Source organism: Homo sapiens, chromosome 4 (genome assembly GCF_000001405.40).
Source record: "Homo sapiens chromosome 4, GRCh38.p14 Primary Assembly".
In the NCBI taxonomy this organism is placed as follows: Eukaryota; Metazoa; Chordata; class Mammalia; order Primates; family Hominidae; genus Homo; species Homo sapiens.
Window position 1 is genome coordinate 182,225,805 of NC_000004.12, and position 26,820 is coordinate 182,252,624.

At 42.4% G+C, this 26,820-nt stretch overlaps 1 protein-coding gene across 22 annotated transcripts in view; it reads left to right on the plus strand.

The window, feature by feature from the left end:
* TENM3 (teneurin transmembrane protein 3) overlaps positions 1-26,820 on the plus strand; it is a 1,355,412-nt gene that overhangs the window by 778,192 nt on the left and 550,400 nt on the right. The window contains exon 1 of one of the 22 annotated variants that reach the window (NM_001080477.4): positions 17,598-17,672. The exons of the other annotated variants lie outside the window; for them this stretch is intronic. The gene's annotated coding sequence lies outside the window, so the exon portion shown is untranslated. Of the gene's footprint in view, positions 1-17,597; positions 17,673-26,820 lie in introns of those variants that run through there. 22 annotated transcript variants of the gene reach the window in all.

The window sequence follows — 26,820 nt, forward strand, 5'->3', positions numbered from 1 at the left end:
AAAGCAGTGGGCCATGCCTGGAGTGAAGGTTAGACCGGGGTCTCACGGGGCTCAGAATTTGATCCAATCTAGCAGCAGTGGCAGCTTTTTAATCCAACATCATACCCTTAAGCAGCTCAGCTCAGCAACAGGCACCTTTTAATGGAGACCTTGAAATATCATCCAAGTAAGGAACCATCGGGAAATACAGACCAAGGGCAATTACCCTGAGTATTTTATAATATAGCTAGAACGTTGATCACTGTTCCTTGTTTGTGAGTTTTCTTATTCCATCCATTTCCTTGTTGGAGATTTTAATCTGTAAATGAAAAAGGCCTGCGTGCCTATTTTCAGGCACAGCAAAGACCGAAAAGCTGGGTGGGGTGTCCTACTCCTTAGCCAGGCTGAGAGAAAGGAAATTGGAGAAGTAGAGAAAGTGGCAGCCCATTAAAGGAAAGAGAAAAAAAGAAGAGGCTGGATTCCTAGGAGACTGTGCTAAGAGTGAATGAATGCACGCAGAGCTAGCCCTTGAAGCAGACAGGAGTCCAAGGGCAAGTGATCTATTTATTCTTGATTGCCTCAATCTAGGCACCAAAATTGGACAAGAAAGATGACTAATGGAATGTAATGAGTTTCTATTTCAACAATGCCCAAATAGGCTTCTTTAACTTGGTTCATCACGAATAAAGATATTAATTGAGAAAAACTAAAATAACACTAAAATAAACTAGAATCAAGCTGATGATGAGCATATATATATGTAAGTAACTGCGTTACATAAAATGCAGCTGTGGATTATGAAAATCATCAAGCTCCTCTTGGTGTCTACAGGATGGAGTGGCTGAGTCTCCAGCCTTTTCTATGGAGCAGAGCCTCCCTCCACCTTGGACCCATGCTGCTTTGCTCTATCTATAGCAAAGACCATACCCAGTCATTACTCCAAATGTTAGGGAGGTCATGCAATAGCATAAGTTCACTTTCATTTTATTGATAAGACATGTAAATGCAGTGCTGAAACATAAAGTGACTTGCTCCAAGTCAGTGGGTCCCTCTCTGCCACTCCACCTATTCTCATGAAATACTGAGATATTCACCTGACCCATACATATAGTATGACTGGGTATGGTCTTTGGTCATCATGCATCTCTCAAAAATGGTAGAGCTGCAACAGTGCCTAGGATCTTCCTGCAGTTACTTAATGGCAGTTTAAAGCTGTCTGTCTTAACTCATCCTTTCTGCCGTAACTCCTGCTGCTGCTCTCCTTTTATCATCCAGCAACCTCTATCTCTTTGAATTTGTAAATTCAGTTACTATATAAGACAGCTCAAGCAGTAGACACTCCTTTCCATGGAATCAAGGCACAATGGCTTTTTCTTTCAAGTTTCACACTCTGTATTTGATAAGCTTCATTTCTGTCCAGTGACCTCAGAGAGTGGACAGTGCAGTACTGCTTGCCTGGCTTCCCCATTAATTTCTCAGAGCTGTTCCTCCCCAGTGCTTAAGTGGAGGTCCACATTGTCCTGGACCCTGGAGCTTCACCCACAGTCATGTAGCCATAGGGTCCCTGTGACTTCCTGGGTCCCATGCCGGGGTATTCAAGGCCTCAAGCCTGTCCCTGATTCCACGATTACCTCTTATTGGCCAGTGTCCACTGTCGGTGGAATGGCTGCATGGCCATCATTATTAGCCACATACTGAGAGTTCCGTGATCTTTCCCAAACCGTAGGCGTCAGTGGTCTCTCCAGTTTTTACTCTCAGCACATGGTTTACAGTGTATGAGTGAGAAACAATGAAACTAGCTACTAAGAAGCCTCGCTTTAGTCTAATTTTTTTCTTCGTGTAGATGTGCAGGGCTTTTTTTTTTTTTTTTTCCTTTTCAACCTTGTTGTCATTTCAAAATATTCCTTTTTTCAGTGGCTTCCGGGCAAAGAAGATTCTAGTCATGCATCCAAACCACTCCTGTCCCAGCAGAAAATTCCTTTTCAACACTTTAGAATCTACTTTTTCTGGTTATATTAGCCCTGAGGTTCAGGGCTTTTGAAATTTCCTTTAAAGGAACGCATACTAAGGGTAAGGTGAATATCTCAGTATTTCATGAGAATGGGTGGAGCGGCAGAGAGGGACCCGCTGACTTGGAGCAAGTCACTTTACGTTTCAGCACTCCATTTACATTTCTTAGCAATAAAATGTAAGTGAACTTATGCTATTGCATGACCTCCCTCATATTTGGAGTGTTTTTAAGTCAAATATACAGAGATTGAGAATAAAATAGTGGTAACCAGGAGCGGGTTGGGGCAGGAGGAGGAAATGGAGAGATGTGGGTCTAAGGATACAAAGTAGCACATATATAGGATGAACACTCTTGAGATCTAATGTGCAATCCGAGGACCACAGTTAATAATGTTGTATTGTGGTGGGGATTTTTGCTAAGTGAGTAGATTTTAGCTGTTCTTGCCACAAAATAAAAGACTGTGAGATGATGGATACTTTAGCTTCTCTATAGTAACCATTTTACTATCTATATGTGTCTCATAACATCATGTTATATACCTTAAATATATATAATGTAATGTAATGTGTGTGTGTGTGTGTGTGTGTGTGTGTGTGTGTATATGTAATCCCTCCCAGCTCTAAAATTTGCAACTCCAAGGTTGCATGTTGGAAATTGGACAACTGAGTCATTAAAAATAGGTATTTTCCCTTCACATCCCACCCTATTGATTTCTCTCCTGGTGCCTGTTCAAGCTTCATGCTAGGGTCTACCGGTTCAAAGAGGAGCATGACACATGAAGTCAGTCTTGTCACTGCTAATTGGTGTCTTACATAGATAAATTATCTAGTTATCAGGTGTCTCTTCATTTCGTGACAACATAGCATCAAGAAAGTTCGTTAAGAATGCGGAGAAAATGTATTTTTATATTCACAGTTATTTTTTTAGGATGAACCATCAAGCTTTTGAGGGACAGGAGCTGATTTCAGAAATTCATCCTTCACTCCTAGCATTATGGTAGGATTTCTATCTTTGTTTTATTCTGTCAAATGATGGATTTTTGTATAATGACTAAAAGGACTGTGTAAAATGCCATTGTAGACTTCAGCACAAAGGTACTGACATCTTTTCCTTTGTGGTTTAGAAGCCTGAAGTTTTGTGCAGTCCTACTGTCATGGGGCATGTCTCAGAAGTCACTGCCAAGCTACACCCAGGTTGGGCTGGTGGATGACACTGACAGCCCCGTGTAAATAAGTTTCTAATATTGTTAATGATGACTTAAACACCCAAATATATTTGCTTTGTATTTTGTTTCCTTGCACTTCAGAAAATATGCCGTTGAGAACAGCTCGATGGAATTTCATTCAAACTTTCTTGACTTTACACCAGCAGCATTTTCATTTCAGCTTTAACCTACTTACTATTTTTTTTCTTTTCAGTAAACAAATATACTGCCTTATGTTGAGGCGAGGACTTGGGAGGAGTTTCAGGAAAATCATTCTTCACATTTTAGAGGTTGTTTGTAATAACTTTGCTTATGCTATAAAAATGTTAATAGCTTTTGAAGAATAAAAACCCCGTAATAATTGCTCATCTATAAGCAGAGTCTTACGGTTTTAGCTGCAATCTGTGGTCCCGAGTGGGGAAAGAGTAACATAATACCTTCTATTTATGCATGGTTTATGAACTGATTTGCACAAGGGACTTTGTATTTGTAAAAATGCATCTCACTTGCTATGCATTTTAACCATTTAATATTTGATTTACCAAGAGAGCAAAATTTTGTTTTCAAAATGCAGCAATATGACCTTAGACTGTGTGTGCGTGTGTATGTGTGTATATATATGTGTATATATATATATACACACACACACACATATATGTATATATAATTAAGCCTGTCTTAAAAGAGTTTCAAAAGATGACTTTGTAAGAAGATCAAACCCCAACTACAGGTCCTCAGGCATTTTAGTAACTCATAGAGCTTAATTTCCATTTCTCTTGTGATAACATAAATCATAATAAGAGTAACAAAGAATTTCCTTAATGAATTGGTTGAATACAGTGTACATAACATTGAAGAATGTTTCCAATTCTAAAATTTGGAAGGATGGTGTTTAAAGGCACTGTCGTTAGTTATCTCAACAGGTGGTAGCTGGTAATTGATAATTATATTTAAAGTATGTGTATTCATTGTGGTTGGTAGTAATACAGCATTTTTATCTGCAGATCTCAAAGCATGTGTGAATAAATATGCATTATTTCCCTATTTTAAGTAGCCAGAGACTCACTGAACGTTAATTAGATATAAGCAGACAGAGAAATTTCATGTCCGCTGCTTGCTTGATGCTACTAAAAAAAAAAAAAAAAAAAAATCTTCCCAGAGACTGAGGTGAAGAACACAGTGTACCTGATCTCTAAATAACTACTGTTCAGGGGCATGGCTCCAGCCCCAAGCGAAGCCCCATGAAGCGCAAAATGTCCCTGCACACGTCTTCCACCAGGCTCCTCACACCTAGGCTCGCAGAGCATTCTAGCAAGTCTTAGGTCAGAAGAGACCTCAGGGACCATGCTTCTGAGTCCTTTCCTATTACCTCTAGCTACTCAGCACGTGCACTAGGATGGGGACGTGACGTTTCCTCCATCCTCCACAGCACTTCCTTCTGAACCCTGGCGAACCTCTTGATTAGGAGAATATTTGTTGGAATACGTACTGTGTTGTAAACTCTTTTCTAGGTGCTTGCAATAGAGCAGTGACCAAAACAGACAGTCACTGCTGTCACAGCGCTGGCGTTCCAGGAAGGAAAGATGGTCTGTGCCGAGCATCCCTCTATTTATTCACAGCTTTAACCTCCCCATCTGCACCCTTCCTACGCAAAGCAGGGTGTCCTACCTTCTTCAGCAAAGGCTTTCCCATCCCACCTATCCCCATCAGATGGGGAAATATTTCTGAGCTTTATTTTCTGGAGTTTGTATTCTTTTAATTTTTAAATTTTGTGTTATGAAAACAATAGCTATATTAAATACAGTTTCTCAAACTATATATATATATATATATATATATATATATATATATATATATATCCCCCTTCTACCTCCTGTTCTCCGATAATTACAGCACACGAAGAGGCAGGTTTCCCCAGCAACGGAGTGGGTGCAGCCCTGCCTCATAATTCTCCTGACCAACAAGTGTCTCTCCTGGGCCAGACCTGAGGGTCTCTAACACTCAGTGGCTCCCAGCTCCCAGGCCCAAGCTTGTTGTATGCTGGAAGGAGGGGAAGGTTGACTACCGGGGCCTCCTTGTGTTCCAGGGTCAGAAGAACCTCTGAAGAGCTTCCTATTTTTTCTTGTTCTACATCTTTGTTCCCAGAAAATTCCAGAAATGTTTTTCTGATTCTAGTTCCCCAACCTCCATCCTCTTTCTTTGTTTTCCTTGGTATCTCTGAATGTTCGAGGGGGTCTAAGCTATTCCCGAGGAGGGTGCCTGACTCATTCTGACCAAGTCCTACCAGACCAAAAAGTACTGGTCTTGGGAGCTGCAGTTGAGTCAGATTAGCTTTGATTGTCAACTTAGATAACCCCAGGAGAACAAAAAAAAGGAACGCGTAGAGGTATTTATCTTTGGCCCACAGCCTCTTCTAGCATGCATAATTATGTCTGTTATTATAAATATGGGCCAGCCAGCTTTGTGATAAGTCTTGCTTGAGTACACTAAACTCTCTGCCTCCGTGCCCATTTGCTCAGCTTTATATTTCACGGGCAGCTGCTTATGACCTTAAAAAGTGCAGAGAACCCTGGCCAGCAGTAGAAGGTTCTGGCCAAAGGGTGATGCCCAGGGCAGGAATGTTCCTGCCTCTCGCCCCATGAGGTCCTCTCAGCTGTTTCAGGAGTGCCTCCTCTCCTAGAATAGCAGTAACATGCAGCTGATGACTGCCAACAACATCATGCTCTTGGTACCAGGCTGGACTCTGGAACAGCTGGCATGCTTGTACATCCCTGACATTCCGAGCCTGGGATGCACCCGAGGTTAAGGAACCAGCAGACTCCCAAAGAATTATAGAGTGGCATGCAGTCTCTGCCAGCCATTTCTAAAGATCTGGGTGTGAGATGAATCTGCAGAAGGGAAAATAATGGCTGGAAAGCACCTGAAATTAAGTTGGCTGGAGTCCTGCCTGGTTTGCATATTTTTTGTATGTGCCTGTGATATGCATTGAAAATCATTTGCCTAAACTTCCTGCTAACTAGAGGTACAATTAAACACTTCCAATTCAGGAGTCCCGTTCCCCATACTACAGGCATCTCTAGCTGTTTTGTTTTATCTTGTTTTGAGGTCTTTGGAAAAATTAATTGTTGGTAGCGTATATACAAATGTCTATTCCGGGAACTGGCGTCTTCACTCCTCTGTCCTTCTGGCTGAAAGGGCTCGGATTTCACTTTTATTCAGGGCCGTAACTCTCACTTCTCACTTGGCCACCGTGTTGGTCCTGGAAAGAATCCTCTCCTTCATTTCAGCCGAGGAAAGATTAAGGAGGAAAGGGAAGAGGTACTGGAGCACTTGCTACCCCTATTATCAGATCAGATATATGGGAACTTTAGCAAAATGTCTGTTGTATACCTATTATGTACACCTAACAAACTGGTGATTGTCCAGACATTAAAGACATATATACGGACAAACGCGTTGGCTCACACCTGTAATCCCAGCACTTGGGGAGGCCAAGGTGGGCGGATTACAAGGTCAAGAGATGGAGACCATCCTGGCCAACATGGCGAAACCCCATGTCTACTAAAAATACGAAAATTAGCTGGGTGTGGTGGGAGGCTGAGGCAGGAGAATCACTTGAACTCGGAGACCAAGGTTGCAGTGAGCGGAGATCGCGCCACTGCACTCCAGCCTGGCAACAGAGTGAGAGTCCATCCAAAAAAAAAAGACATATATACATGAATTCCCCCCTTCTCTGGGGGTATGTGTTCCAGGACTTCCAGCAGATGCCTGAAGCCCTGGATAGTACCAAACCCCATACACACCATGTGTTTTCCTATACTGTAATGGGTGGGTAGCTTATATGGCATGGATATGCTGGACAAAAGGAGGATTCACATTCCTGGCCCGATGGAGCAGGATAGCATGAGATTTCATCACACCACTCAGAGCAGCACGCAACTTTAAACTTACAGATTTTTTATTTCTGGAATTTTCCATTTAACGTCTTTGGACCATGGTTGACCTTGGGTAATTGAAACCACAAAAAGTGAAACTGAGGATAAGGGGAGACTCTTGTAGACATGACAGCCTCAGAAGTGCACAGGAGAGGGGTCTCCAGGCTTCCAGATCACCCAGAAGCCGCTCCAGGGACCTGAAGCCAGAGATGTTCCCACCTTCCGTGCTCAGCCAAACAGGAGCCGGAGAGCCCCAAACAGCGGTGAGGGAATGACAGAAATTCCCGGATGCCTCCCACTAATTTCTCACAGGAGAAAGTAAGACTTCCAGGCATCTATCCTGGATAGACGTCCACACATGATCCCACACTGGCACTGTTCTGCATGGTGGCGGCTCCTGGCCTGCCAGGCAAACCACCCTGTGTGCATTAGGGGTTAATTTGACTTGGGAACCTGACCGACGTATGCTACAATTTCAGTGGGAAATGTGCATTCCAAATTCCTACAAGACTGCCTCAAAACAAATTTCTGAAATGCAACCTGTTCGTAAGTTGTGGCTTGCCTGCATTTAATACTTTTTTGGCAGCACCATACACTTACAAAACTGTATGCTGCTTATGGAAGAGGACATTCTGGAAACCACTTAAAATTCACAGAAGTTTGGATTCTTTCTCTAGCATATATTTCATTTATTTTCTTGCTGTATATTTGACACGTGGTCACTGTTACAGCTTATCGTCAAGCAGATATGCCAGCACTATCTTCCCAACTTTGGGTAAATTCTTTTACCAAAGGACAATGTCCTAGGTGACAAGATATTTCCAGTTTTTTCCCATTGAACAAAAAAAGGAATCACTTTAGAAGGGACTGTTCTCTTTCACTTCAGAGGAAACTGCAGATATGCAACATCTGGTAGAAATCCCTCGGATTCTCTTGGATGTAGGCATAGGCTTTTGCTCCAACTATCTGGGATGGTTTTCTCTTGGTTAAGTCACTCTTTACGCCTTTCGGCTTTTCCAGCTTTCCAGGCGTCTGATTTTTGTTATTACTGTGTTTCAACTTGGGGAGTTGTGACACGAGTGGTTGATTCCTTTATCGGCCTTAGTAGCCATAGGAGCAGAGCTGGTTTAGGGGTTTAGGGTGTCTGACAAATGCAGAAACCTCCAAGTTCACCGTGAAAGCCTGGCTCCCTCATGGCACCTGTCAGTTCTTTCCACGTTAACAACCCTTGGATTGTCAGTCTCTCTCTCTCTCTAACCTCTGTCTTAGAGGTGAGAATACAGGCTTACTATCCACAAAAGTTCGTTCATCCACAGAGCGAGTGGCCCCTGTGTTCTGAGGGAATAGTCGTACAGAGCACGGTTCTCTCCTTAATCACGGTGCTACCTCCTGCCCCACACCTACTGCTAGTAATTATTTGCATGGGAGCTAAATTCAGCAAGAATATTCACCTCAACAAACCTACTATGTGTGAAATACTGTGTTAAATGCTACAGTTAGAAATAGAAATAAAACACAGCCCTGTGCAGTGGCTCACGCCTGTAATCCCAGCACTTTGAGGGGCCAAGGTGGGTGGATCATTTGAGGTCAGGAGTTCAAGACCAGCTTGACCTACATAGTGAAACAACATCTCTACTAAAATACAAAAATTAGCCGGGCGTGGTGGCAGGCCCCTGTAATCCCAGCTACTCGGGAGGCTGAGGCAGGAGAATCACTTGAACCTAGGAGGCGGAGGTTGCAGTGAGCCGAGATTGCACCACTGCACTCCAGCCTGGGTGACAGAGCAAGATTCCCTTTCAAAAGAAAAGAAAGAAGAAAAAAAAATGAAAGAAAACACAGTCGTTATTCTCAAGAATGTGAGTGAGACAGGCGCAGGTAGACTTTAATACAGTCTAGTAAGTGTACTGATAGAGATATACCGAATGTTATGGAAACCACAGGAGAAGCTAACTTGCGGGAAGATGGGATAGGGGAGACTCCCTGGAGGAGGTGAAATGAGCCTGGGCTGCATTTTAAAGGGTGCATGGAAAACAGGCCTGGGAAGGACATTTTAGACCAAGAGGTCACTGTCATCAAAGCTGAGTCAGTCAGGGCACACACATAGAGGCAGTGAGGTGCTTCACTGGCCAATACAAAAAAACCACTCCTCAGTATTCCCCCACTCTGCCCCGCCATCTTTGGACCTCACTGGAAGCCAGTGGCCCTCATATTCTGAGTATTCCTGTGGGCAGGAAACATAGTTGTTGGGATGCCAAACACTTGTGCTTCTTATAGCTCTGAAATGCCTTGGGGGCACAGTAGTGATTCTGGATTGAAAGCATGTGGGCATCATAGGAAAAAAATATTAATAGGTTAAAAATGTTCTCCAAGTCTGTGATCTCAGATATCTCAAAATATATGTGGTTAGGCGTGGTCTTTCTGTGGAACTTGCAGCAAAAATCTACCTTCCCAGGCGGTGGTTCTTCAGGAAGACTGTAGCGTGCAATCTCCAGTGTTAGTAAAGACAGATGTTGTCTTGTGATTCTTCCATGCACCAATTCTGCAGTTTCTAAAGAGTAGCAGAACTGGCCTCGGTGTGCTCCAAGATTTAGAGTAAGAATAGCAGAGAGCAAACAGCAAGCTGGAACTACTACACATGTACACACGGGAGCCATCTCTCACAAGCTGGAACTACTACACACATACACACGGGAGCCATCTCTCACAAGCTGGAACTACTACACACGACCACACGGGAGCCATCTCTCACAAGCTGGAACTACTGCACACACACACGAGCCATCTCTCACAAGCAAACATGCTGAGCACTTGACCCAATGAGATACAAAAACCCTGGCGTTAGGAAGGAGGTAGGAGCTTTATCTGTGCTTGTGTTCATTCAGGCAGTGAACCATTTAGGAAAGAATTGTTGAGCACCTACCATGTGTAAGCACTGCTGTAGTCACTGAGGCTAGAGCAGTGAACAAAGCAGTCTAAAAAATCCCCTGTCCTCTTGGAGCTTACTGTTTAGGGGAACTTTATCCCAAGGGCAAAGAGAAGCATTGAAAGGTTTGATACAGGCAAGTGACATGACCAGATTCACATTTGCCTTGGCTCACTGTATTGAGAAATCTGAAGGAAGGATTGTTTGGGAGGATAGTGAAGGAAGAAACGGGAGCAGAGTCCCTTTAAATGCAGGTCTAACCAACCAAAAGCTTCAACATGTTACACACTGTTTCCCCCAAGAGCAAAAATTTCCTGAGATTTTTAGCTGTTGTTTAAAGATAACTAAACAAGTAATATATAATTATCCTGAGCTTTGTGCTTTACACTGAATAAGACATCATATTTCTGCAGTTAATACTTCTGAAATAACAAGTTTAAAGAATGCCTCCTGATAGACAGCTTTCTGCAAATACGCCTGCAGTTACTCTCATCACTCCTGCATCAGTGTGGTTGATAAGAAATGACAAACTAGAACATGTTTGGTTAAATAGACCATCTGCCTATTCATAATATGGACATTAATTCTTATAAACAGTTACTTCAGCTGTGTGAAATGCCTGATTTCCTTTCATGATATGCTCATCCCTGGGCAATTACTTCTATTTCACATGATTTTGTAGTGGACCATACAAACTTGTTTTTCCCAGTGTAGACGTTAAATAATTTAATGGGAAATGTATACGGAAAATGTATGTTAAATAATATGTATGTGAAAATATTTCAACAAGGTTACTCTGGTATGTGAATTAAGAAACTTTTCTTGATGAAGTAAAACATAAGGTTCAGAAGAGTGTGAATCTGTGAACAAGCCTAAACCTCAAAACATGAAGCAGTATAATTTTAATAGTTGTAAATACAGTGGTAGCAGACCCCACTGAGATTTGCTGTGTATTCTGTATGCAATATTAAACCCAGAGATGCTTTTTATTTTACTTTAAGTTCTGGGATACACATGCAGGACATGCAGTTTTGGTACATAGATAAATGTGTGCCCTGGTGGTTTGCTGCACCTATCAAGCCATCACCTAGGTATTAAGCCTGGCATACATTAGCTATTTTTCCTGATGCTCTCCTCCTTGTCCTCCTGCAACAAGTCCCCATGTGTGTTGTTCCTGACCTGAAAATCCTTGTGTCCATGTGTTCTCATTGTTCAGCTCCCCCTTATAAGTGAGAACAGGCAGTGTTTGGTTTTTTGTTCCTGTGTTAGTTTGCTGAGGATAGTGGCGTCCAGCTCCATCCATGTTCCTGCAAAGGACATGATCTCGTTCCTTTTTATGGGTGCGTAGTATTCCATGGTGTATACGTACCACATTTTCTTTATCCAGTCTGTCATTGATGGGCATTTAGGTTGATTCCATGTCTTTGCTATTGTGAATAGTGCTGCAGTAAACATACATATGCATGTATCTTTATAACAGAATGATTTATATTCCTTTAAACCCAGACATTCTGTTTTCTTTTTTTTGAAACGGAGTCTCACTCTGTCGCCTAGGCTGGGGTGCAATGGTGCTATCTCGGCTCACTGTAACTTCTGCCTCCTGGGTTCAAGCAGTTCTCCCGCTTCAGCCTCCCATGTAGCTGAGACTACAGGCACCCATCATGCCTGGCTACGTCTGTAATCCCAGCACTTTGAGAGGCCGAGGCGGGCAGATCACCTGAGGTCAGGAGTTCAAGTCTAGAGATTCTTATAGCATCCTTTAGCCAAAATTCATTCGGAATTCTGGATCTTTTGGGGTCTTAGAAAAGTAATGTCGTGGCCGTATTGTCTGTTACACAGCAAAGTTAAGTCTGAGGCCATACCTGGCAATTAAACATGTTAACATTTCTTCCATAAAACTCATGAATATTCAAACTTATGGAGATAAAGAGGATAAGTCAGTACAGGTTAAGTTTTGTCACCAAATATATTTTCTTCATTCTGTTTTTATTGCTTTCTGCTTTCTGGGTTTTAGGATACATATAAGAGATTGTGGACCTGTAAAAGAATCCCAAAGGAATTTTGGAAAATTTTCAAGTCCAGCCTATGATATTTAGGCCAAGAAATGGCAAATATGTCTAGAAATAATAGCTACCACAACCAAAATATATAGGTTTCTTTTTTGTTTTCCATACACTAAGACTACAGGTGGCTTGGTTGACAGTGTTACTTTTAAATAAGATGAGACAATGAATAAATGAAGGAGTGAATGAATGTCAGGGTGAAGAAACAGTCTCAGGGTCTCATAAATAATGCCCTTCCCTTCCTCGTGTCTTGGCTGCTTTAGCCTCAGGATATGTGAGTCTGGGGTCGTCGGAAGCCTGGATCCTCCTCCAGCCATACTGCAACTGTCTATCAAAATGACTTCCCAAAAGTTTTCCAACAACTGAGTCATGGAGGAAGAGCTTTAAGAACTAAAACAAATAAAGCTCATTCCTTCCCCAAGGCCTTTGTAATTATTCTTCTCTCTGACCAGAACGTTTTCCCCCATGGCTGATTCCTTATCATCTTTTGGATCTCAGGCCAAATGCAACGCCCAGGGGAACCTGCCCTATCCACCCAGCCTCTATGCCCTTACTCTGCTGTGTGTCCTCATCACCCTCTGAAATTCTTGTGTTCACTCCCTTTTGATCGGAATCCTTCACTAGCAGGGGTGCTCTATTAGGGCAGAGCCTTTTTGTTCCGAGATGAGTCTCTTAGGACCTGGGGCAGTGACGGGCAGACAGCACTCAGTAAGTATGTATTGGGTGAATAAATAAGTGAAGGAATGTTTCCCTGACTGTCGGTGCTCAGTGAAGAGCTGACCTGTGCCTACGGACTGAATCATCTTTTCATTTGTAACTTTTAACTATTGTAATTCTAGATAATGGTGATGACTGTATTGTGAAAATTATTAAAAGTTTTATAAAAATACAAACACAAGTACCTTTTCTCCCTCTCTTTTTTAATTCAGTTACCTACCGCGGTGACTCATTCATACTAACATCTGAGTCTGTGTCAGAAACAAGCAAGAGAAAACAGAGGCAGAGATAAAGGACTGATATTATAATTTTTGAACAGCTCTTTCTTCTAGATAAATGTTCTTTATATAAAAAATAAAATCTCCCCAAGAATATTCTTAGACTTTAAAAATCTTTATGTGTGTGTGTGTGTGTGTGTGTGTGTGTGTGTGTGTGTGTATTTTTTTTTTTCTTTTTTTGAGACGGCGTCTCGCTGTGTCTCCCAGGCTGGAGTGCAATGGCACGATCTCGACTCACTGTAACCTCCGCCTCCTGAGTTCAAGTGATTCTCCTGTCTTAGCCTCCCGAGTAGCTGGGATTACAGGCGCCTGCCACCATATCTGCCTAATTTTTTGTATTTTTAGTAAAGATGAGGTTTCACCATGTTGGCCAGGCTGGTCTTGAATTATTGACCTCAAATGATCTGCCTGCCTCACCCTCCCAAAAGTACTGGGATTACAGGCATGAGCCACCGCGCCCGGCCAAAAATCTTGCTTATAGTCCCTTACAATATTGAAACTATTGCTTCTGCTCCTTTCATTGCTTAATTTATTGAATTCTTTCCATTATTAGTAAAATATATTTTGTTTCTAAAAGCTGGCAAGAAACTTACTAAAATACTACAGTCTAACATTTAGCATGCTGCAAAAACTTTGACATTGTCATACAAATAAGTGGATTCTTCAAGAGTTCAGGTTATCTTGCAGGAAAAAGATGATTTAGTTTTATAGAGTTTCCTTCTTGAAAGAGGTCTAGTTAGAAAAGATTTCAAACCAAATAGGGGCGGAGACAGGGTAGGGAGAAAATACCACTATGGATACTTCAAATGAAATAAGAAGGAAGGACAATAATATCTAATATTTGTTGCTTATAGTAATACTGTATCCCAAATAATCGCAAAAAAAGCTTTACTGGAAAAAAATCATTACACCTATCTGATTATAAAGAAGAAACAAAAATTGATTAGTAGTTTGCTATTTTCAAAGTGTAAAAATAGGGTAATTAATGCTAGATCATTTGACACTTTGGTTTTCTAAAATTAAACTTCTCAGAGAAATAGATTCAGGAAGAAATTTCACAAAACAACATTAATTAAAATGGCTGGGAAAAAAACAATACTGTAATAACAGTTGTAGAGTAGTGAAACTGGGGGAAAGTTAAGCAGCATTTTTTGCTTTGCTGATGACTGCAGTGGGGGAACTTCTATGGGGAGAAAAAGTGGATATTGGCTGTTGCCTTAATTAAACTCATGATTTATGAAGACCCTGGTTAGCCACAGCCACCCGGATATTTCAGAGCGAGAGTCAGAGCCTATTTAGTCTGTCACTGACTCTGAGTTTGGGAACCATAAATAGGCCTGCTTGTGTTGGGCTTGTCTTGTCATGGACGTCCACTGAGATCAACGGAATGCCAGAAGTGACCCAGCAAGTAGGAGAGAGACACGTTCCTACGAGAGACACAGAAGAGCGCTCCCCACATTCTTTAAATATTTTCTCCCGGCTATCATCATAACCTCTGTCTTATCGGGATTAATCTTTTTCTGGCTCACTTTGATCCCAGTCCCCTGTTAGGCTCCTCAGATGCTGAATACGTTGTGAAACTGTGGTGTCAGGATTAGAGATAAAAGGGGAGATGTAGACCATGTGTCATCAGCATGCTGATCTCAGAGTGAAAATGCCTGACTTTTCTTCAAGTTATCTTGCGTGCACTTTGAGCATGTGGGTGATTACCATCAGAGCCTGGCAATTCTCCCTGCGAGTCCCGGCCCTGCAGCCCACGAGAGCAGGGAAAGGCAGGATCTAGCAGGGTGTTCCTCATGGTGCCATTCCCCATGGACACAGCCTGGGAGGTCTTCTGTCCACCCAGAGAGCCTGGAGCAGGGAGACAGTAAGGGCCTGGGATGGAATGCAGCTCCAGAGGCTGCTGTTTTGCCTGTTTGTCATAGGATTACTGTATTACAGGGCTTTGAGACCAGCCTGCTATGTCCCCTCAGATCTGGCCTCTGAGGCCCCTGGGCAGGATGGCATTTTCACTGCCTCTCTTTCCCGCTCCACTGACCTTCACTCAGTATTTCCTCCTTCTCTGAAGCCCGCTTCTCATCACCACCTACAGCCTCAAGGATGCCTGCTTGCATCTTTGAGGCTTTTGTCATCGGGCTTGAAGATTTTTTTCCACATGGTCCCCTTAATCTGCTCCCATTCTTGACAGTTTAACACTCGTGCTGAAATTTCATTCCTTGCAGAGTTGGGATTTTCATGTGAATCGTTATAGCTTCTCTCTGGTTTACCATTGGCTTCCCAGAGCTCAGCTTCTGGGCACTTAATAAATGTTCATTTAATCAATTACTATCCCAATACTTTGTTCTCTTGTAACAACAGTTTTCACCTCCATTTCTGACAATGCTTTCTTCTGATTCATTCAATAATGAGAGGTCAACACACATGTTCTCTGTTTTTCTCTAACAAAAAAGACATGCCTTCATCCCTTCTTCTGTTCAGTGGTGCCCCCTCTACCTGGGCCCTGTGTGGCATTCCCCTCTGCTTCCTCTGGATCCTTGGCTCCATTAATTTTTTTCCACATTCTCCTATCTTCAGTCGCTTCCTTTTCCCTTTCTTTTTTCTTTCTTTTTTTTTTTTTTTTTGTGAGGCGGAGTCTTACTCTGTTGCTCTGTTGCTATGCTGCGATCTTGGCTCACTGCAACCTCCGCCTCTCAGGTTCAGGCCTCCTGCCTCAGCCTCCTGAGTAGCTGGGACTACAGGCATGTGCCACCATGCCCAGCTAATTTTTGTATTTTTAGTAGAGACGGGTTTTCCCATGTTGGTCAGGCTGGTCTTGAACTCCTGACCTCGTGATCCACCTGCCTCGGCCTCCCAAAGTGCTGGGATTACAGGCATGAGCCACTGGGCCCGGCTTTCCTTTTCCCTTTCTTTTTCCAGACAGGTAAAATGCACAAGGCTTGACCGTTCTTTTAAAAACGCTTCTCCACTGAAATGACTCTCCGTGGTCACAAATAACCTCTTTATTCCTGAAGCCAGTGGACCCTTTTCAGTTTTGCTCTCATCTGTTTTCTCCACTGTCAGCCACATGCCTTTTCCACCAATTTGCCTTCTTTTTTTTTTTCCTCTCTCTTTTTTTTTTTTTATTTTACTTTAAGTTCTAGGGTACATGTGCACAAGGTGCAGGTTTGTTACATATATATACATGTGCACAAGGTGCAGGTTTGTTACATATATATACATGTGCCATGTTGGTGTGCTGCACCCAATAACTCGTCATTTACATTAGGTATATCTCCTAATGCTATCCCTCCCCACTTCCCCCACCCCATGACAGGCCCCGGTGTGTAATGTTCCCCTTCCTGTGTCCAAGTGTTCTCATTGTTCAGTTCCCACCTATGAGTGAGAACATGCGGTGTTTGTTTTTTTTTCCTTGCAATAGTTTGCTGAGAATGATGGTTTCCAGCTTCATCCACATCCCTACAAAGGACATGAACTCATCCTTTTTTATGACTGCATAGTATTCCATGGTGTATATGTGCCACATTTTCTTAATCCAGTCAATTTGCCTTCTTAAAACTTCTTGGTGGCCCAGCACGGTGGCTCATGCTTATAACCCCAGCCCTTTGGGAGGCTGAGGTGGGTGAATTGCTTGAGCCCAGGAGTTTGAGACCAGCCTGGGCAACATGGTGAAAACCCGTCTCTACAAAAAATACAAAAATTAACCCGATGTGGTGGCACTTGCCTGTGGTTCCAGCTACCTGGGAGACTGAGGTGGGAGAATCACCTGAGCCTGGGAAGTCGAGGTTGCATTGAGCTGAGATTGCGCCAGTGCACTCCAGCCTGGGTGACAGACTGAGGCCCTGTCTCAAACAATAAAACTTACTGGTTTTCCTGCCTGATTGCTTTCTCTGAACTGTACCCTAGATCTTCCTACCGTGGTGGTTCAGATGAGAGATGATGGTAGCCTGTATGTGGGTAGTGCTTATCAGAGATGGAAATAAAATTGACAAGAGTTGATAATGTATTAGAAGCGGAGGCTAAGAGAGAGGTAAGCAAGATAATCACTAGGTTTCTGACTTGCATAATTGGGCGGTGATGTCATTCACTGAGATTAGAAGCATTCCAGGGCGACTATGTGGTAGAGAGGCTACAATGAATTCAACTTTAGATGTATTGGAGATGTGTTTAGAATGTCTTAAGGGTAAATGTCACATAGGCTTTTATTTATTTATTTATTTGAGACAGAGTTTCGCTCTTGTCGCTCAGGCTGGAGTGCAGTTGGGTGATCTTGGCGCATTGAGACTTCCACCTCCCGGGTTCAAGCAATTCCCCTGCCTCAGCCTCCTGAGTAGCTGGGATTACAGGCATGCACCACCACGCCCAGATAATTTTTGTATTTTTAGTAGAGGCGGGGTTTCACCATGTTGGCCAGGCTGGTCATGATTTCCTGACCTCAAGTGATCCGCCCACCTCGGCCTCTCAAAGTGCTGTGATTACAGGCATGAGCCATCGCACCTGGCCATGAAGGCTTTTAGATGGGTCTGGAGCTTGGAGGAGAAGTCTGAACTAAGGATAAACTAAAGGTAAGTTGCTGAGTCATCTGTAGAGAGGTGGGAATTGAGGGCACGGATGAGACAGCCTAGAAGAAAAGGAGGAGAAGATGAGAAGAGAGTATCGAGGTATTGGAAACTGGGGAGGGCAGACAAGTCTAAAAAGGAGACTGGAAAAAAGTAGTTGAAGATGGAGAGGGCAAATCTGGGCAGTGTTGGGACACGGAAGCTGAGGAAAAGAGCAGTTCAAGATGCTTGAAATGAACACACCAAAAATACTGTGAACTATTCAGCACGTCCTTGTTTTATAAGTAAAATTCATAGTCACATCAGCGAAATAATTTTAAATGTATGTCTGTTGACTTAAATATTGGTTTTCTTTTGTGACTGAGGTTCCAGTACTTAGGAAAGGAAATGAAAGAGAGGCAGGGCACTCAGGGCTGACTGTCTTCTCAAAGTGCTAACTGATAGACTCTTCCAAGAATGGAATCATTTGTGTTTTCTTTTTTTTTTTTTTTTTTTTTTTTTGAGACGGAATCTCGCTCTGTCGCCCAGGCTGGAGTGCAGTGGCGTGACCTCGGCTCACTGCAAGCTCCGCCTCCCGGGTTCACGCCATTCTCCTGCCTCAGCCTCCCGAGTAGCTGGGACTACAGGCGCCCGCCACCACGCCCGGCTAATTTTTTGTATTTTTAGTAGAGACGGGGTTTCACCATTTTAGCCGGGATGGTCTCGATCTCCTGACCTCGTGATCCGCCCGCCTCGGCCTCCCAAAGTGCTGGGATTACAGGCGTGAGCCACCGCGCCCGGCCTCATTTGTGTTTTCTATTAAAACATATAACCCAGGGTATTAGACCACCATGGTGGTCACGGCGATCACAAAATATTTTTAACTGGTTTGCTGTGAGCTGATTTAGTGTTCTGAAATTTTATTATCTTGACTGGTAGAATTATTGGAACCAGCCATACATGTTAGAGTGATTGACAGCTACTTCTGATGAGGCTTTTATTGGATCTCAGGCAGCCTGCAAGTCACTGTCCTTTGCATTCAGATGCATTTATTTCCACAGCCTCCAGGGTAGCTAATGTTATTTTTCCTTCCCATTCCGAAATTTTAAGATGCCTCAGCTTTAGCCTGGCTCCTAAACTGATGGACAAGAGGAGAATATGAAGAGGAAGACGGGTCTCCTGGAATCCTCAGTTCCCAGGCTCTTCCCTCCAGTGGTCCAGGAACACTTTTGTCCCTGTCATAGATTTGTGTAATTCTCATGATGTGTAACATATGGAAAGAAAAACCAAGTTTTGTGTAGCCTAATAGATAGCTGTTTAGGAAACCATTCCAACTGTCCAGCTTTCTGAGAGTTTGCAAATATCACTTTACTTCTTACATTAATAGAGCCTCATGCAAATCAAATCATGTTGAACTTTATTAGCTATGCTTGATGTTATTTATGTTCTAATTAAATTAATGAGAATCTTGCATTTCTTCACAAAATTAAATTTCTAGAGTCTCTTTTTATTGTAATGTCTACATTCCATAATCAATGAATGCTTTTAATCCTCTGCAGTGATACTTTCTAGTGTTTTGGGAATGAAGCAAAGGCTTCAGAAACATTCAAAACAATCGAGTGTTAGGCTGTGCTATTGTTTGTTTAATGGGCAGAGGTCACTTGCTATGGGAATACTGAGGGTCTGCATGCTGGAATCATTCTCTTTTTGCCCAGGATGGGATCATTGGGTGAGTTTACTTAATCCATGGGCTTTGTTTCCCAAGACTGTGTCAGGGAACAAGACACAATTGTTTCCAGCCCCAGAGTCCTCTTGAGAGAGTGGCTCCAGCAACTTTGCTCTGTCTCATGTGATGTAGCATCCTCCGGCATCATTTAGAAAAGTGAAAGAGCAAGTAGAAAGGAATCTATCTGATCTTCATTTCTTTGCTGTTGTTGTTGATTTGTGTCACACATTGCTTCTCAGGTGGCCCCAAGAGTAAATCAGAAATTCCAATTGAGATTGCAAATTTTGTTTTAATTCTCTGTTGCTTTTCCAGCAATCAGTGCTTTCCTTTAAATTCTGTCTCGTCTCCTAAATGAAGGCAGCGTCGTGGCCCAGTTTGGGTCTCTGTTTAGCAACTGTGGTCTGTTTGAACTGAGGCAGTCCACATGTTACTTCCATTCTTTAGATTAATGTGATGACCGTAGTCCCTGCCAGAATCTTTTGGAACCAGTTATCCCAGGATATTGACATGTGACACGGCCATAGGACTGAAAACTTCCTCTCTTCCAGGGCCAGCCACAGGAGAGAGAAAGGGATTAAGAGGCTACTGTTGTGTCAATGCTGCAACTTGCTTTAGGACTCTGAGCTGGTTTCTTAACTTTTCCGTTGATGAGCAATAAAACCAGTAGAACAATAACTGCCTTCAGTGATTTTACAGATTTGTGTTAGTTAATAAATATAGGAATTTAGGGAAAGCTGTTTCTGATTTATATTTGATACCGATGTAACATTTTATTGGCGGGCGCTCCTGCTGGATCCTCACTCTGTGGTTAACAGTGACTCCTTTTCTGGTAGCACTCCCTGGCTCTGCAAGTCACGGGAAATAGCGTAAGAGCTCACTTGTCTCTTATGTTGAACAAACAGAGGCAGCAACCGCTATGGCAGAGGGTGGCACCTTCTGGCTATGTGTTTTCCTAAGTGGCCTGAAATGAAACTCCTAGAAGTTGTCTCATTGATAAAATGAATGCAATCTAGGTACCACTAATTATCTAACCCCGGGTCATCAGCAGGATTTACCACCACTGCCAGCAGCCCCAAGGCATAGGGGAAGAAAGAATTTTTTAAAAAGAAGTCATGGAAGCAACACAGAGAGAAAAACAAAGCAGCGCTTATGAATGAGATTCGCTATGAGCCCCCACCCCCGCCCCTCAGGAATAACATTTTAGATAAGCAGTGGACACGAAGCAGGCCCCGCTCTGAAAGAGCACAGGAGGTAGAAATGTCTTCCTTTTCTAGGATATAGATGGTGTGGGTATCAAAGCCATTGTTGACAGGAAGGAGGTGGTGTTGGATAAGAGACTAAAAATAGAGCCGGAGTAGTAGTTTGAATCCAGCAAACCAGCCCTCCTTCTAAAATTCTGCAGCACGATCCCATCACGTAAGAATGTGTCTCGTCCGTATGTGACAAAGACACGGTTTTATTGACCTTAAACAAATGGGCTATGTCTGCCAGAAAAGCTTGTGCCGTCTTGACTGTATTCATAAGAAATAGAGAGATATGAATCATGCCATGTAGGTTCCAGGGCGGGGGCGTTCCCTCCCTCTCGTCCTTCGCTTTGCCTTGCATTATTGCAGACGACAGCAGTGCAGGGATGAACTCACTTTCTAGGGAGGAAGCCGCCAGTAAATAACTAAACAAAGAAGATAAGTTCCGATAATCATCGCTGTTAAACTGAGACTAAAACGAGAGATGAGGTAGTGACTGGGAGTGGAGGGGAAGTTGATTGAGGTGGATCACGAGGGATGCCTCTCTGCGGAGGCGATGCCCACATCGAAGCTCTCAGGATGAGACGGAACCAGCCGTGTGGGCAGCTGTGGGAGGACGCAGAGATGGGCAAATGTAAAGATGCGAAGAACACCAGAAATGGTGTTTTTGAAGGACAGAAAAATATGAGTCGAGCTAGAATCTAATGAGCAAAGAGAAACGAGTTAGATGTGATTTTGGAAAGGGAAGGCAATGTGTTTCTCTGTGTGCTGATCAGTCCTGAGGTGCTGCAGCAAGAAATTGACATATAGAGGTGGATACCAGAATGGTGAGGAGTTTGGAAGAAAAACCCTATGAAGAGCGCAGTCGGAACTGGGGGTTGGTTGTCTTACGAAGAGAAGACTGGAGAGAGAGCCATGATAAATGTCTGATTATTTGAGATGTGATCTACTGGAAGCATTACACAGATGATGGTTCCATAGAGTGGCCCTCAGACCATTGAAAGGGGCCATGGCTAAGGCAGAACTCACCCGCCTTAGAAGGAAGCACTTTAACCCTTGACCTCATCCATCCAAAAATGGAACGAGCAGCTTCACAAAGCTGCGCTGTTAGTTTCTAGTCACAAAGTGTTGTTAGGCAAGGACAGCTTTAATTTACTAGATTTTAAGATTTTTCAGGCCAGTGACTTTGTTTTCTGTCCATGTTATATCTCTGGCAAGTACCTGCGGGTGGATGCTCAGTCAGTGTTTACTGAAATGACAAATAAGTAAATCGCAGTAGCAACTGGACCAAGGATGGCTCAGGCAACCTCTCAGATTATACCTAATTCTAGGATTTTATAATTCTGTGATATGAGTAAAAGCAGAATTATTTTCAATACTTAACAAAATTTTATTGGGAAAAATAAAGAACTGTGAACATTGGTGAGAAGTCTTAAAAATAACTTCCCAAACTCTAGCAAATGCACCCTCACCCTTTCCCTGCAAAGCTCCCCACGCAAACTCTTCTGTGTTTCCTAAGCCATGAAGTACAATAGTGCCATTGCTGTTTGTCAGTGACATAGAAAATATTATTTAACTTTATTTAATGGGGGATTTTCAGATAATTTGGACTTCAAATATGCAGTTTTGAAAGTTGATCTGAAATACATCACTTATAATTGCCTTTAGGCTTTTAAGCAAGCATATATGAAATACATTTCATTATTTTATTCACTATATTTCAGTTAAAATTTGCTTTTAAAATATAAAGTGCCTGGGTGCAGCAAACCACCACGGCACACGCATACCTGTGTAACAAACCTGCACGTTCTGCACATACATCCCAGAACTTACAGTATAATAAAAAAAATTTTAAATAAAAATAAAGTGTCACTAAAAAAGTATATCAATAGTCTTAGCCTTATTGTCAAAGAAAAAAAATGGAAATTCTTAGACCATTTTCATCATTCAGAGTATAAAAAATGTTGACATGTACTCTATTGTACAGTGATCAAAGGCATTATTGTACATTCTTTAATTTGAGGTGATTCTTCTAATGTGTAGTACCAATTATTCTGATCTCTGCTGAAAAGTGATGACATGTGGTATTTTTGTTTAACATAGATCTAGTAAGTTGGGTAATTTAAGTAGATGGTTAAATATACTCAGTACCTGAAATAAGCTTGCGTATATGAAGCTTTGATTTATGGAACTGGCGGAGATTCAGTCAGTAACAATGTAATTTTAAAATAGCATCTGCATTGAGTGGATTACAAAGGAGACCACGATTTTCCTTCATTCATTCAACAAATAATTACATGCCTACTACGTGCCAGCTCATATTTGAAGGCCTGGGATACCACAGTAAACCTGACAAAAACCCTGCTGTTACCGAGTTCCTCATAACTACCAAAGGGTTGCAAATGAGATGTGGAAAGTTCTTTATAACCATATATATCTACAGAGCACTTTATAGTTTACAGAGCACTTCCCCAAACACCTTTAGGCCTCTAAAACCTATGAAAAAGGTGCAATAGTAATAGCAATAGGACAATAACATAATAAACATGTATTGAGTGTTTACTATGTGCCAGACCCTCCTCTACAAACTTTATATGTTTTAACTTGTGAATTTTCAGAACAACCCTGTGAGGTGTATAGTTTTATTCCGATTTTGCAGATGAAGAAATTAAGACACAGACAGATTAAATTCCTTGGCCAGAGCTGCATAGCTAATAAGTGGTAGAGGACATGCTATCACCCACACCACCAGCTGTGGAAATGGGAGTCATGTGGTCATGAGTTACCTGGGTCGCGCAGCCAGATGGAAGTGGAATTTAGGTTTTCCGATTTCAGGGCCAGTGCTTTTCTGAATGCACTGCAGCTGCCTACCTCCAAGCAATGACATTGTTAAAATGATTAGTAAGCTTTTGCTGAGTTAAGCTGTGATAACAAATAATCCCCAAATCTATGACTTACAACAAAGGTCTATTTTTTTACATATTTTGTGAGTTATATGAGTTGATAGTGGCTGTACTCCATGCTGTTTTCGTACTAGAAGGAGAAACTATTATCTCACATATTCTGCTCTCACAGCAGGAAAACACAATGGTGGACCATGCACTGGCTCTTAAAATCTTCTGCTCCATCGTAGACTGAACCGCTTCCTCTCACATCTTCTTGGCCAAAGCAAATCATACAACGAATGGGGTGGGAAATGTACGTCCCCCCACAGTGAGGGCACTAAGTGGTGGTGGTGGGGGTTGGGGACCTCTGAGGATGGGTCTGATAGAGAGGGGTTGCAAATATTTTGAGCAATTGTGATGTTTTTATATAAATATTCTTAGTTAGTGGTTTTTATTTTTTATTTATTTAGTTTTTTTAGAGACTAGGTTTTGCTGTGTCACCCAGGCTGGAGTGCAGTGGTTCAGTCATAGCTGATTGTAGCCTCACACGCCTGAGCTCAAGGGATCCTCCACCCAGCCTCCCGAGTAGCTGAGACTACAAGTATGCACCACTATGCCTGGCTACTTTTTTTTAAGAGATGGAGTCTCGCTATGTTGTCTAGGCTTAGTCAGCTGTTAAAAATGATTTGATTGCAAACAACTATGTGGTCTGCACTGTTCTGGTCATTTTTCTTTTTCTTTTCTTTTTTCTTTTTTTTTTTTTTTTGAGACGGAGTCTTGCTCTGTCGCCCAGACTGGAGTGCAGTGGTGCGATCTGGGCTCACTGCAAGCTCTGCCTCCTGGGTTCACGCCATTCTCCTGCCTCAGCCTCCCGAGTAGCTGGGACCACAGGCGCCCGCCACCACGCCCGGCTACTTTTTTGTATTTTTAGTAGAGACGGGGTTTCACTGTGTTAGCCAGGATGGTCTCGATCTCCTGACCTCATGATCCACCCGCCTTAGCCTCCCAAAGTGCTGGGATTACAGGTGTGAGCCACTGCGCCTGGCCTGTTCTAGTTATTTTTCAACTGTTACATCTTTTGTTTTAATGCACCACTTGGCCTTATTATCCTTATTTGGCAGATGAGGAAATGGAATAGAAAGAGAAACAGAAAAGTTAAGTAACTTACCTAAGGTAACACAACTCGTAAAGGATAGAGTGAGATTTTGAATGTAGGTTTTCCTTTGCCAAACCCCAGATTTCCCACTTCAGTGTACTACATGTTGGAGGGAAATCGCTAACGAATTTGGTTCATGTTTGGACAGATCAGTGACTTTTTTGTAAAGCCAAAGAATTCTTACGTGTGAATGATTTCCAGCTAGTAGAGAAAAACCTAAACTATCTATAACCTCCAGGAAATTAGTCATTCTGGCTAACCGCATTTTTCCAGGTTAATGAAGATTTAATATTTTAAAAATAAGCATTTTTATATTTCTGTTGACTAAAAACATTCACACTGTAGAAATTCTCACGTAGTGCATAGAATATTAAACATGCAATGGTGAATTGATAAGGTCTCCCGCACCAACTGTCACCTGATTCCAGCTGGAAGCTTATTTAATGGTGCGGCATTTCAGATGGATAAGAATTTGTTATGCAAACAAGGGTTTGTTCACATTTGATTTTCTTAACTATCTAAAGGCTCTAAACAGTGAGAGATTTGCCCAGAGACAAGAGCCTTTCCCACCAATCAGCAGAGCCTCTCAGTGTTCCAGAGTCCCAAAGACATCTTCATTTGAAGGGTTCGGGGCCTTAATTAAAGGACTGCATTTTGAGGTCTGGATTTCCAGGTTATCAATTTTGGGAACTGAAAAAAACCTTTCCACTTAGAAAGTCATCATGGGGGCTGGGCACAGTGGCTCATGCCTGTAATTCCAGCACTTTGGGAGGCAGAAGCAGGAGGATTGGGTGAGGCCACGAGTTCCAGACCAGCCTGGGCAACATAGCGAGACCCTGTCTCTACAAAAATAAAAAATTATCCAGGCATTGTGGCATGTGCCCGTAGTCCTGGCTACGTGGGGGACTGAAGTGGGAGGATCACTCGAGCCCAGGTGGTCCAGGTTGCGGTGAGCCATGATCACACCACTGAACTCCAGCCTGGGTGACACAGCGAGACCCTGTCTCAAAACAAAACAAAAGCGATGATGGGAAGTTGTCTTTTACTGTTAAAATGGAAAAGTGTGGGAGAAAATTAAATTACGGCTATGCTTTTTCATACTAGGTGGGCCTTCTTTCCCAGTATAGAGTCACCCTTTTACAACTCTGAACTTAAGATATAAAATGAGATGGTCGATTGTTTAGTAATCACTAGAATTCTATTCCCTCCTCGAGGTGTAAGTGCTGTCTTCTTAAATGGGAGAAATCTGTTTAAGTTTCATGATACATGCTGACACTGTGTATCTTACAAGTAAAGATGCTCTCTCCAACTTTGGGTTAAAACATGCACAGAACATAAAATTCTTGGTGACTGTAAATGAGATCTATCCATTACAGTGGGTTACTTTATTCATTTCAATATGTTACTTTGAATACCTGCATTTGAATTAAATGAGATTGCTGGCAGGTGCTGTGGCTCATGCCCGTTACCCCAGCACTTTGGGAGGCTGAGGTGGGCAGATCACCTGAGGTCAGGAGTTGGAGACCAGCCTGGCCAACATGGTGAAACCCCATCTCTACGAAAAATACAAAAACTTGCTGGGTGTGGTGGTACATGCCTGTAGTCCCAGCTACTCGGGAGGCTGAGCCAGGAGAATTGCTTGAACCCAAGAGGTGGAGGTTGCAGTGAGTCAAGATTACGCCACTGCACTCCAGCCTCGGCAACAGAGTGAGACTCCATCTCAAAAAAAAAAAACAACAAAAAAATGTGGTTGCTGAGAATGTCACACGTCCAGACCAGTCAATTGCTCTTAATTATTTAAGTATACACACGACTTTCTTTCATTATGCTCCTTATGAGTCAAACAAATATGGAGTGCAAAGCTTTTAAGACCTCTAAAATCTCTCCATCAGTTGTATGCTGCTGTGAGAGTAGAAATTGCTTTCATGGAGATTTGAAAGGGAAAAAAATTTAAATAACGATGTGATTTAGTGTGCAGTTGGCAAATCAGCATACTTAAAATACATGAATATTAAAATAAAGAATGCAATAAACATAACTACTGACTTACAATTTATTGAGCAACTGACTTTTAAATAAGATTTTTTCCACTCAGACTTTCTTCATAGACCTTCAGAGTCCCTCCTATTGTTATTTTTTTCCAGATCACTGTTACGTAGAGGCT